We start from the raw sequence: 12,710 nt of genomic DNA, 5'->3' as shown, positions 1-12,710 counted from the left end.
GTGGCACGCACCTGTAATCCCAGCTACTCAGGAGGCTGAGGGAGGAGAATTGCTTGAACCCAGGAGGTGGAGGTTACACTGAGCCAAAACTGCGCCACCGCACTCCAGCCTGGGTGACAGAGCGAGACTCCATTTCAAAAAAAAAAAAGAAGATTAGAATTCTTTTGGAAAGTTTATTTTTGACAGCAGCTGTTAAGCCCTCTGTAAGAACTGTTTTCACGTCAAAATTACTAGGTAAATAAAGTTCTGTTTATCTTTAATCTTTGGTTTCCAAGGGTAATTTCTTTTGTAACTACTTTGAAGAAATGTTAGCTGATAATAGTAGACATCAGTTCATTAAAGTGAGTGATGTCATGGAGAGAAAACTTTTAATGAACATCATCTACTAATGTATTGATTTTTGTCAGGCATTATCTTGTTACCAGAATTTAGCGAGCCATACATACTTTTTGTTGTTGTTGAGATGGAGTATCGCTCTGTCGCCCAGGCTGGAGTGCAGTGGTGTGATCTTGGCTCACTGCAACCTCCACCTCCCAGCTTCAAGTGATTCTCCTGCCTCTGCCTCCTGAGTAGCTGGAACTACAGGCATGTGCCACCACGCCCAGCTAATTTTTATATTTTTAGTAGAGATGCGGTTTCACCTTGTTGACAAGGCTGGTCTTGAACTCCTGACCTCAGGTGATCTGCCTGCCTTGGCCTCCCAAAATGCTGGGATTACAGGCATGAGCTACTGCGCATGGCCCACATTTTTTTTAAGTGAATTTATTTTGGTATTTGATAGTAAGTCACTTACACTTAAGCAGCTGTCACCTTCCTATGTAAATATACTGAGACAGTTCCTTCCCGTTGTTGTTGGAAAATAGTTTGTAATTTATACTGATGAGAAGTCATTAACTAGGTTTTTTAAATGGTGTGATGTACGAAACATTTTCTTAAACGGAAAGATCAGTGTTCATTGTTATAAAAGCCTAAAAATAAAATTGTCAGAAAGCAAGATAGCAAAATTAGCCTATGGTTGATATTCATGACTTGGAAAGAGCAAGTCAATGATACAGCAGAAGCTGGTGCCGATTTCTTCCTTTATCTTACAGCTGCCTAACAAAACAAGAAAACGCACAACTAAAGTAGTTCAAACTTAGCAAATTATACCATTCAAATAGAATAGAAAGATACATATTGAGGCGTGAAGCAACCAGGTAAAAATTGCCAAAATTATATATACATATTGCAACTACTTTTAATATACCTTAGTTGACATATATATAAAATTCCATTTTGGGGGTCTTTAATAACTTTTGTTTCTTCTAAGTTTTTATTTATTCACTTATTCATTCATTCATTGATTCACCCATTCATAATGAAACATTCATTGAGCTACAAGCTGCATGGGGTAATGAACATAATAAAACATATGATCCATATCCTCAAGAAATCCATAGATTGTGAGAGGAAACAGACATACTAGGTAGATAAGAAAATACAAGGTGATTAGTGATAGCGAAAAAGTACAAACAAAAATTGGTTCATAGCAGAAGGAGTACTCTGCCTTGGGCTAGATAGTAGCTTTAAGGAAGGCTTTGTTGTGGAAATGACATCTGAGCTTCTGGAATGGCTTACACTGCGGTCTTCTGACCTCGAAGTGGGAGTTGGGCATTTCTACTTGCTCCTTGGTTCTTATTATTTGCCTCTAGTTTGAACTGGACAACTGTTACTACCACAGGGGGAAAAATCTGTAAGAACTTAATACCTCTCATACCCTCACTTCATATTGGGGAGGTGGAAGGTGAAGTTTCGATTGGTGAAGGTTTTGCCTGAGATTACACAGCCGTCAAGTAGTAGAATCAGGGCCACATTTGCTAAGATTTCTTGTCTGTCACTCCAAAGCTCTTTGCCCTTTTCCATGCCATTTTCAACTTTTCCCTTCGGTTTTCTGAAAAGCAGCTTTGGTAAACAATCTGGAAATAAGAAATAGCTCTTTGATAGTTTTTTGTTTGTTGTTTGTTTGTTTTTAACCATTGAACAATTTCAAATCTTGCAGAACAATTGGGTTTTTTTCCCTTACCTTCACTGCTTCTAAATTAGGAAAGTGTACATTCACTCGTTTTTTTTTAACTGTATGAATTTTTATGCAAAGAAGGTAAGGCTAAGAGAGCAGATGTAATTTGTTCAATGCCACACAGTAGTCAATGAAATGTGTGTCCAAGCTGGGAAGGTCTTTCTCTAAGATCTGCACCTTTCAACTTTACACTCCTGCCTATTCAGATAGAGATGAATTACATGGTTTCTGCTATTAAGATTTTATAATGTAGTAGAAAGACACAAATAAGCAAATGTAATACAACAAAAAGAGATAAAATCTCCCATCATAATCCATTGAGAGAGAGAGAGGAAGAATTTCTCTAAGATTTCAGAGAAGGAATGTAAATTTGGAATGGATTTGAGGAGAACATGTTATTTGCACTGACATTTTAGGAATTTATGTGATTAATATGTGTAGATGGCATGAGAATGGTAAAGGAGATTCTAAAATACTCTAAACACAGTGATTGCATCCACAGAGGTCTTCGATTATGACATGTGTGAAATGAGAAGCTCATTTTGAATGACACATTGGTATATATAAATGATGTGTGGAAAATGTAGTAGAAGAAACAATGGAACAAAGTTATGGACAGTAGAAACAATGGGACAATTTATTGAATGTGCAGGTAAGAATTTGGGCATTTTGTCACATGCTGTGGAGAGGCCGATAGCTATTTAGCCTAAGGAGTGGAGTGATCCAAATTGAGCTTGATTTTTTTTTTGTCTCTGAAATAAAAGTAGTCATTTTACCTAAAATCCCCTTTTTTAAAGATAGAAATGCCAAAAACTATTTTCTAGGATCTACTTTTTTAATATTTTGATTCATCCAATCAATATGCATTTTAAAACATTTTTCCTGTTTAATTTTACTTTTCTTTTGAGACAGGGTCTCACTCTGTCACCCAGGCTGGAGTGCAGTGGCCCAATCACAACCAACTGCGGCCTCGACCTCCCTGGCTCAAGTGATCCTCACAGCTTAGCCTCCTGAGTAAATGTGGCCACAAATGTGTGTCACCACACCCAGCTAATATTTCATTTTTGTGTAAAGATGAAATCTTGCTATGTTGCCCAGGCTGCCCTGTCTAATTTTAAATTTAAGTTTCAAGCTATTATTCTCAGAAGGACTCAGGTTGTGTTTATAGCACAGAAGGAGTCAGTGAGTCAGCAACTATGTTACCAAGTGAACTAAGAATTGTAATTTGGTCAACATTATTTCACCTGAAGTTAACTTATTTTTTTAATGATCAAGAAAATAAGAATCACGTTATTCATTTAATAAATTGTAATCTTATTATCTAATTTTATGAGGCAGGCAGAATGAAAAAAAGTATGTGGTTCTTTGTGGATGAAAATAAATAAGAAGAAGCATTTATTGAGTGCCTTCTATAATATGGTCTTGTGAGATAAACCTCACCTATGCTGAAACTGGTGTTCTTGATAATCCTATAAAGTGGTATTATTGTTGTTGTTGCAAACAAGGAAATGGAGATCCAGGAGGTTAACTGATTCACCCAATTCTCATTGTCAGTGAGTGGCAGAACTGGGACTAACATCCCCATGAATCTGGTTTCAAAGGTAATGCTCTAGTCACTTCTTCACCTGACCTCATAGTTATTATTTGAAGTACTATCACCTTGTATCTTCCGTGTAATACATAAAGCCATCTTCATAAACACAGGCTATTTTATAAAAGACTGAATTCTGTCTAACAACCAAATTTTTACCACTTTTTACATGTTTAAATTCCATGTAAAAGAATCATCTTAGTGTATAGCCATAGTCAGATTTTATTTTGACTGTTGTCACTGTGAATTTCTAATAAAACAGAAGGCAGAAGTAACTACAAGTTTATAATCTTTGAGAGATGTCAGTATATATTTTAAAACCACTTAACTTGATGTTACAAGAAACTTCAGATTGAGTTTGAAAATATATATATTGTTATGCCCTGTGGCATTTTCTGACCTGTCATAATGCCACTCAGTTTCAAAATCGCTATTCATAGATGTTGAGAATATTCTTGCTGAATAAAGAGGCCATTTTGGAAATGTGTGGAGGTTAATATTATGCACATGAAACTGCTCAGCTTTCTCACACCCTGTCAGATCCGAGCAATTATTCTACCATCTCGCTGCCTGTCCCCGCCCCCACACCATTTCCTTAAATTGCTATGGAAATTAAATCGTGAAAGACACTCTTCTTGCAAAGATGCCTCCTTCAGAATCCTCTCCGCTTTGCCCTAGCTAATTTGGAATAGAAAATCATCCCACATTTCCGTGGAACTTAGAAAGGCCAGGGGCCAGACCTAAAAGGCATAATTTGCCTGACATCTGTGTTCCAGAATCATGTTGCATCAAAACAATTCGTGATGCTCAAGTGAAAGTAAGCATCCTGTCTATTCACTAAAGCATTTAACAAGCGAATGTCAGTCACTTTCTATTCTCTCATCCATAGAATCACATCCCATAAGGACGATCATACTTGTAAAGTGCCCAATTCACATTACATTATTTCATGATCACATTGATATAGTGAATATATTTTCTATCATTTTGCTCATTTTTTTCCTCCAGTGGGTGTTATGTGTAGCACAACTGAGGATACCAGAGATTATTCTTAAAGTCTTGATTTATAGAGACTAGATGTCTAATTAACAGAGGCAACAAGCTTACTGAGAACTTGCAGGATCTACCCCTTTGCCAGTCCTACTCAGCTTCAGAATCCAGGTTGCTAGTCAGGCCTGTTCTGTGGCTATTGTAGGCAGCCAACAATGACTTAATCCAAAGTGTTGAAATGGCCATTGGAAGCCAAACATCTGGGTAGACTACTTTTCATCACTAATTTTATAGAGAAGACATTGTTTCTAAAGTTTTGGAAACTCTCAAATCTGCTCCTTTTACAGTAACTGGCAGTACATTCGAGTTTCTAAATACTAAAATGATCTTGAAGCTTCAGATACAGCCTCCATATAACATACCTCTGTCTCAAACAACCAGCTCCCATATGTAAGGCAAAGCAAAGCAACTGTAATCTGAATATTAGAAAGATGTCTCTGAATGTAGAGAAATTGGGGCCATCAGACTCTACAGCTATGTAGGATAAAGAGCTGTATCAGTGAGATATTCAGTGTTCCTTCCATAGCAGAGGAATTTAGTAGTAGTGTAGCAGAAGGACCCACTTAGGAAAGGAACTAAATTTGGGCAATGAAAAATGAGAGTATAGGATGAGGCAAATTTTCCCAATTGTCTCTCAAAACCAGTAACTGTTGAACATTTAGCAGGTGCAACACTTTCCTTTTTTTTTTTTTTTTTTTTTTTTAGTTGGAGTCTCACTCTTGTCACCCAAGCTGGAGTGCAAAAGTGGCATGATCTCGACTCACTGAAACCTCCACCTCCCAGATTCACGCGATTCTCCTGCCTCAGCCTCCCAAATAGCTGGGATTACTGGCACATGCCACCACGCCTGGCTAATTTTTTTGTAGTTTTAGTAGAGACAGGGTTTCACCAGGTTGGCCAGGCTGGTCTCGAACTCCTGACCTCAGGTCATCTGCCCGCCTCGGCCTCCCAAAGTGGGAGGGATTACAGGCATGAGCCACAGTGCCCGGCCTTGCAGGTGCAACACTTCTATCCAAAATCTTTGTTCCTTTGGGAAGGTGGTGGAGTTAGATGCTCTCTGAGGCCCAAGGTAAAAGTTTCTAGTTTCAGTTGTGACTAAAAAATAATGCTGGCTTCCATAAATACAGTGTAAAGAAAAGTAAGGTTAGATAATGGTCCTTTACCTCTTGCAGCTTAGATCGCCAGTAACCATTTGATCCTGGTAGTTTGGAAATGACCCCCATCAAATTATTAAATTTTGGCCTTGGAAAATTAGAGCTTAGTTTAATTAAGGGTTCTTTTTATTCCAGTTCAGCTGGATTCTCCATAGTCTTAATTATATTCATTATTATTTATTTTTGTATTTACTTTCTCTGTGTTCTTAGGCAAAACACACCAAACTTCAGTGCCTTTCAACATTTGCACTTAAGTCCACCGAATGCAATGATCTAATAAGAAAGATAAGCCAGGCCGGGTGCAGTGGGTCACGCTTATAATCCCAGCATTTTGGGAGGCCGAGGCAGGTGGATCATGAGGTCAGGAGTTTGAGACCAGCCTGGCCAACATAGTGAAATACCATCTCTACTAAAAATACAAAAAATTAGCTGGATGTGATGGCAGGGACCTGTAATGCCAGCTACTCGGAGGCTGAGGCAGGAGAATCACTTGAACCTGGGAAGCGGAGGTTGCAGTGAGCTGAGATGGTGCCATTGCACTCCAGTCTGGGAGACAGTGAGAGACTCCTCAAAAAAGAAAAAAAAAAAAAAAAAGGAAAAATAAGCCAAATTGTGATAATTTATAGTTCACTCTCCTTTAAGTCTCTGTCCTATAGCAGTCTCCTATCCCTATTCAGAGAACTTTCATAATTGCATCTGTCAGGCGTTCAATAATAGTATGAAAATAAATGCTCATTTTCTTTCTGGAAGACTAACACATGCTTTTATTCTATAGTTGGCAAATGTTCAGTAGTGGAGTTTTCAGAAACCCCTGCAAAGACTTTTCCCATCAAACACCCACTGTTGGGTAACTGATGTGAGTCCTGAGCAGCCAAAACTTTGGGCTAATGAGCACTCCAGGGTTTGTCATGCTGGTGTTCATCCAGCAAGATGGTTACAGAGACTCATGATTTATGATTTCATAGCCTGGTCCCTTAAACTGAAATTGGAAACAAATGTGCATAGATTTTACCACTGTTTTTGATAATTGCACAATGAGCAAGAGACTTGTGGGAGGTTTTGTTCTCTCTGACATAGTGTTTTTTGATGATACTTCATGGGAATTGTGTTAGAAAAAAACCAGATAACAAGGTTTATATATACTTTCTTATAACTAGAACAAAGCCTTCTTTTAGTAGACCTGAAAAGACTATAACTACACTAGAATCATGGACATAATAAAGATAGTTGTTATGTGGAATCTTAGTAATGGAACCAGTGTTACACTACACATTTATTAGTAGATATTAATGTCAATTTTACAAGTATTGTCTCATAATCTCTTTGATTACCATGACTTTTTCTTACTATGATGAATATCCAAATTGAGATGTATTACCCTATTATTTTTCTTAATTTCTATGATTTTTTGATTTTGATTTGGGTATATTTGTTACCAAAAAATTCTAAAATTAGTATTTTATTTCATATTTGAGGGTGTAAGGTAGGAAAAAAGGCTGATATCTGCAGTCCATTTCAGCTTTATGAATAATTCGTTTTGTATATTTAGGAAAATTATTTCAACTCTCTGAGCCTCAGTTTCCTTAGCTGTAAAATAAGAAGTTTATAACATAAGAGCTCTAAAAGTTTTCTGAATGGCTACAATTCATGATTCTATGTTGAAGGATAGTTGTTTCACTCTACGGTATTTTATGCATGACATGATGAAAACTCAGTAGCTTTAAAGTAATTATAAGCCTTCTTCCAGTGGGTAAAACGCTTACAAATACATAAAACAGAAGACACATGATAAACAAGAAGAGAAAGTGACATGCAAAGCTATTTCTGTCCTTTCTGAGTAAACATATTTTTGTAATAAAGTCAGGGATAAATTCTAAATATAATGAAAATTACTTCCTTGCATTAATTCATATATATTATAAATGGAGCCTTTTTATAATTATAAAAATTATTATAATTTTTACAATTATATAAAAAGTATTATAATTATATAAATTATAAAAATTTATATATTTTAAATGTAAATATAAAAATTATTATAATTATATAAATTATAAAAAATATTAAAAAATTATATTTATTAATTTTTAAACAAATATTTCTCATTTCAATATTATGATGTAGTAAAAGCATATTGGATCTGCTTTTCCCAAATTTGTTGCCTGTGATAGGGAGTGCTGGGAAGGGAAGAGCGTGGTCCCTTTAAATGATATGGAAGTGGGGAAGGGAAGTGCTAGGTAGAGGAGGGTGTGGTCCCTGGCTAGGACTCTACTCCTAGGGACCTAGGTTAGGACAAGCACTTCTGCCATGGCGCCCAAATGTAGGCATTTTCCAAGACCACCCTGGCCTGCCATGCCCCAGTGCTGGGCCTATAAGAACCCCCGAGACCCTAGCAGGCAGGCAGAAACTGTTGGATGGCAGAGGAACACATCAACGGAAGAAGACCAAGTGGCTGGACATCAGGAGGACGTTGAGGGGTTCACACCGGCAGAAGAGCACACTGACAGGCACCGGAACGCCGGCAGGCCATTGACTAGCAGAAGGACGTGGAGTGTGGCTGGGACAGTGGGAGGACAGCCTGGGCCACCTATCGACCCAACTCCAGGGGTAAACCACTTCCCTTCTGGCTCCCCCATCTGCTGAGAGCTACTTCTACTCAATAAGACCTTGCACTCCTTCTTCAAGCCCAGATGTGATCCGGCTCTTCCAGTACACCAAGGCAAGAACCCGGGATACAGAAAGCCCTCTGTCCTTGCAACAAGGTAGAGGGTCTAATTGAGCCGGTTAATACAAGCCGCCTATAGACGGCAAACTAAAAGAGCAAAACTACAGAGCACCCTGTAACACATGTCCACTGGGGCTTCAGGAGCTGTAAACATTCACCCCTAGACACTGCTGTGGAGTCGGAGCCCTACAGCCTGCCGGTCTGTATGCCCCCCTAGACGTTTGAGTAGCAGGGCACTGAAGAAGTGAGTCACACCCCCATTGCACGCCCTGCGAGGTGGACAAGGGAACTTTTCTTTTTTCACTTGGAGACCTGTGTGAACTCCACTAAATCACGTAAACACAGTTTTCTTTTATAAAATCAGCAACTTTGCACTTAATTATCTCTAAGGTTTCCTATACTTCTGGAAAGTTTATATTATGACTTACGATGATGAATGGAGTAAATTTGTAGTCTGGATTTTGAAGCCGGGCAGACCTGGGTTAAAATCCTAGTTTTGTTGTTTTGTTGTTGTTCTAAGCTGTGCAAACTTGGTTAGAATATTGAAGTAACAAAGGTCACCATTGGCCCTTTGTTTTATAGTTAGTAAAGCATCAGTAGTTTAACAAAATAAAAGTCATCACTCAACAGTCGAGTGCAGGTATTCCTGGTAAGAAGGCTGCATATTGTCTGTGTATGAGTAGAGGACTTTACTTCTTTTACCTTGTAGATTTACCGTCCAAGCACCGTGGAATCCTCTTCCTTCAAACCTAGGGAAAGACATACAGCAGAGAAGCCTTGTTTTCGTCATTAAAATTTTGCCCTGAAGGTAGTCTGCATCACTTTTGTTCACATTTTTCTCCCGAGAATCAATATATGGTTATTCTTCAATGCAAGGAGGGTTACAAAATATAGCCCGTGTCTCACCAATGGCCTAGAGCCATTCCAGAAAGAAAAACATTTTGTGGACAACTAGTAGAGCCTGCCATAGAAGGCATTCAATGTATTTTCATAATCCACTTTTCCCTTCTCCTGATTAGAGTACTCTCTTTCAAATCTTAGCAGAGGAATGAGAAGAAACGTGAAAAGAACTCTAACAGGTAGAATCGCTTCATTCTCAGATATCATATTCTGAATGGCATATATCAGATCTTGGTACCTGGTACCTGGTTATATATTAATATTTCATAAATGTTTGAAAAATACTGTGGACCAGAAGTACTTAGGGATAATGCAAATCATAACCTTTCTCTTTGAAAATGTTTCTAACATATCATCTATTTCCTTGTTACAACAAAAGAATTTCTTGATTTGTCATAATTTCACAAATCATTCCACATTTCTCATCCTTATACTTTTTTGTAAAGTTTGCTTCTCATCCATGTGCTCTTGGAAGTAAATTGACAAATAATGTTTCAATCTTGTATGAATAAACTCAGAGGCATTGTATATGACTATTTTCAGATGTTTCTAAGCCAAAGCTGTGTTGCTGCTTTGATTTTCTTTTTTTTTTTCTTTTGGTATGTCACAAGAACATAATACGCTTCAAAGATTTTATCACATTTCTTGTGGATTACTGCATACAAATAAAACAGCCTTTAGCCTTCAGCTTTGTGCTGTTTTCAAGGAAATAAAATACGCTTTGTTATTCCCTGGAAGTTGTGCTTTACTTTCTGATTATTATCCACATTGTAGTTGTCTGTGGTATCTATTAGCAAAAATCCAGATGGCTGAAATATAATTGATAAAAACCCACCTGAAATTTTTACCTCCGAGTCGTTTTACTCTGAAATATGTATCTAAATATTAGGAAGAGTCAACTCCCAGCTTATATCTGCTTTCAGTTGGAACATACCATGCTGTTTTTCCTACTGTGGGACTGTCATTCTTTTCTGTATTCATACTGCCACTGGCAAACTGATCCTCTAAAAACAGACGAGAAGGGGGAGGGAGATGCTTCCATGCTGACTTCTCCACTGCTAGAACTGCCAGCAGGAACATGTTTGATTCAATTAAATTAAACAAGCATTTATTGAACACAGTCACCGGGCTAAATACTAGCAAAAAAATAAAGAATAATACAACACGGCCTTGTCTGTAAGGAGTTCATTCTAGGTGAGGTGACAAACAAGAACAATTACAATCTTCTGTTAGAAGAGCTATAATATGAGTGCTATGGAAGATTACCATCTAATACAAAAATGTGAAATAAAACCCCAACATTATTGGCACAGTGAGAATATTACTACACCCCCAGCAGCATGGCAAGGCCAAAAGTAATACATGTCAGAAGGATTTGGAGGAAGAAGACCTCTCATACATTTTTGATGGAAAGGTAAAATGGTACATGTATTTTGGAAAAAGGTATGTCTGTTTCTTTTCATATACAACTACTATCACTCCCGGTAATTCTGCTTCAAAGTATTTACTCAAGATACGTGAAAAAACATATTCCTAAAAAGACTTGTACAAGAGTGTTCAAAGCCGCTTTGGGTACACTAGAAGTCTCTCATTCGAGAATGGCTAAACAATGAATTACTACTCAGCAATAAAGAGCAATGTGCTATTGCTACACCCAGCAATATGAATGTCCCCTGAAAACATTTTGACGAGTGAAGAAAGCCTTGTACAAATGAATCCATACTGCACTAATCCATTTATATAAACTTCTAGAACAGGCAAATATGATCTACATGGAAAAACATCAGAATGCTGGGTGACTCTGGGTGTGTGGAGGTGGGATTGGCTGGGAATAGATATGAAGAAATTACCTGGAGTGGTGGGAAGGTTCTAATCTTGATAGGAATTTGGGTTATGTAAACATGCACATTTGTTGAAACTCAGTTAATGTACATGTGAAATTTGCATTTCATTGTATATAAATTTGACCTAAAAAATTCTTTTGAATGATACAACACAGCCTTGTCTGTAAGGAGTTCATTCTAGGTGAGGTGACAAACGTAAACTAATAATTGTAATCTGTCAAAAGGGCTGTAATACGGTGACATGGAAAATCACCTTCTAATACTAAAATGTAAAACAAAACCCAACACTATTAGCACAATGAGATATTACTACACACCCCACAGATATTGCTACACAGCCAAATAAATATTAAACTTCTATTAATGAAATTCATAACAAAGTTTTTAGTGGAAAGCAATTTACATCAGAATGCATCAAAAATAAGTGGATTAATGGAAGGGTTGAGTAGTAAATAGACATATGATAGATCAAATAGAGTTAAATCTTCATGGTAGAATATAGTGGTGCATATATAGGTGTTCACTGAAACATTTTTTCAACTTCACTATATGTTTAAGCATTTTCATAATAAAATAGTTGTCATAAAAAGAGTAGAGCAGAAATAATTCCATTTTCCACCTATGCCAGTGAGTCTCTCATAAGAACTAGTTCCATCCTTTTTATTTTTTCCCTCTTCAATCCTTTTCTCTATTGTTTTTGTTTCCCTCAATATACAAACTTGTTTATCTTTCCAGCATCTAAAAAAATTATCCCTAAATCTGGTATCTATTCAAACTACTTTTTGTTTCTTCTTAGCAAAATTTTTGTTGGAGTGAAAAAGTATCTAAATTTGCCCTTGTGCTAGCTTCCCTTTCTCACCCCCAGGCAGTTTGGAGTTCATTTTTATTATTCATTTAAGCTGCTCTCTCCGTGGTTTCTAATAACCACCTAATTGCCAAATCCAATGTTCCTTTCTCAGTCCTCATCTGTTGCGTTTGAGGTCACAGCAACAGGCCGAGGCAGCTGGTTTGGCTCAGAACATTATTATGGTTATAAAATGACATAACCCACGGTATTCTGCTTCCTGTGACAGACAAATAAATCGACAACTGAAAACTGTGCATGGAAGTTACATTTTAGTATCTCCTAAACACATTTTTTCCTGTGTCTCTTCTCCGAATATTTGCCACTGCTGACCATCTGCTGGTTGAAAACCACTCTTCTTCCAGTTTCTATGATTTAGATTTCAGTTGCTATTCTTCCTTCTCTGTTTCTCCATTTGCTGAGCACTATCAAGCTTTTATTAGATAGCCCTGTCCTTCTTTGTTTAATTTCCACTTTTAAGTGAGTATGTTTCATTATTTTAATGGCATCTACAAGTATTTTTAAAATACTGTAAGATGTTAAGAA

At 37.3% G+C, this 12,710-nt stretch overlaps 1 long non-coding RNA gene across 2 annotated transcripts in view; it reads left to right on the top strand.

Annotated features, from left to right (window-relative positions):
• LOC105374235 (uncharacterized) overlaps positions 1-12,710 on the top strand; it is a 221,596-nt gene that overhangs the window by 83,042 nt on the left and 125,844 nt on the right. Inside the window, exons 4-5 of one of the 2 annotated variants that reach the window (NR_188690.1) lie at positions 2,559-2,708; positions 9,286-10,213. The exons of the other annotated variant lie outside the window; for it this stretch is intronic. This is a non-coding gene — a long non-coding RNA (uncharacterized LOC105374235). Of the gene's footprint in view, positions 1-2,558; positions 2,709-9,285; positions 10,214-12,710 lie in introns of those variants that run through there. 2 annotated transcript variants of the gene reach the window in all.

This window comes from Homo sapiens, chromosome 3 (genome assembly GCF_000001405.40).
Source record: "Homo sapiens chromosome 3, GRCh38.p14 Primary Assembly".
NCBI lineage: Eukaryota > Metazoa > Chordata > Mammalia > Primates > Hominidae > Homo > Homo sapiens.
Note: the sequence above shows the minus strand (reverse complement) of the source record. Positions and strands in the feature narration are given on the sequence as shown.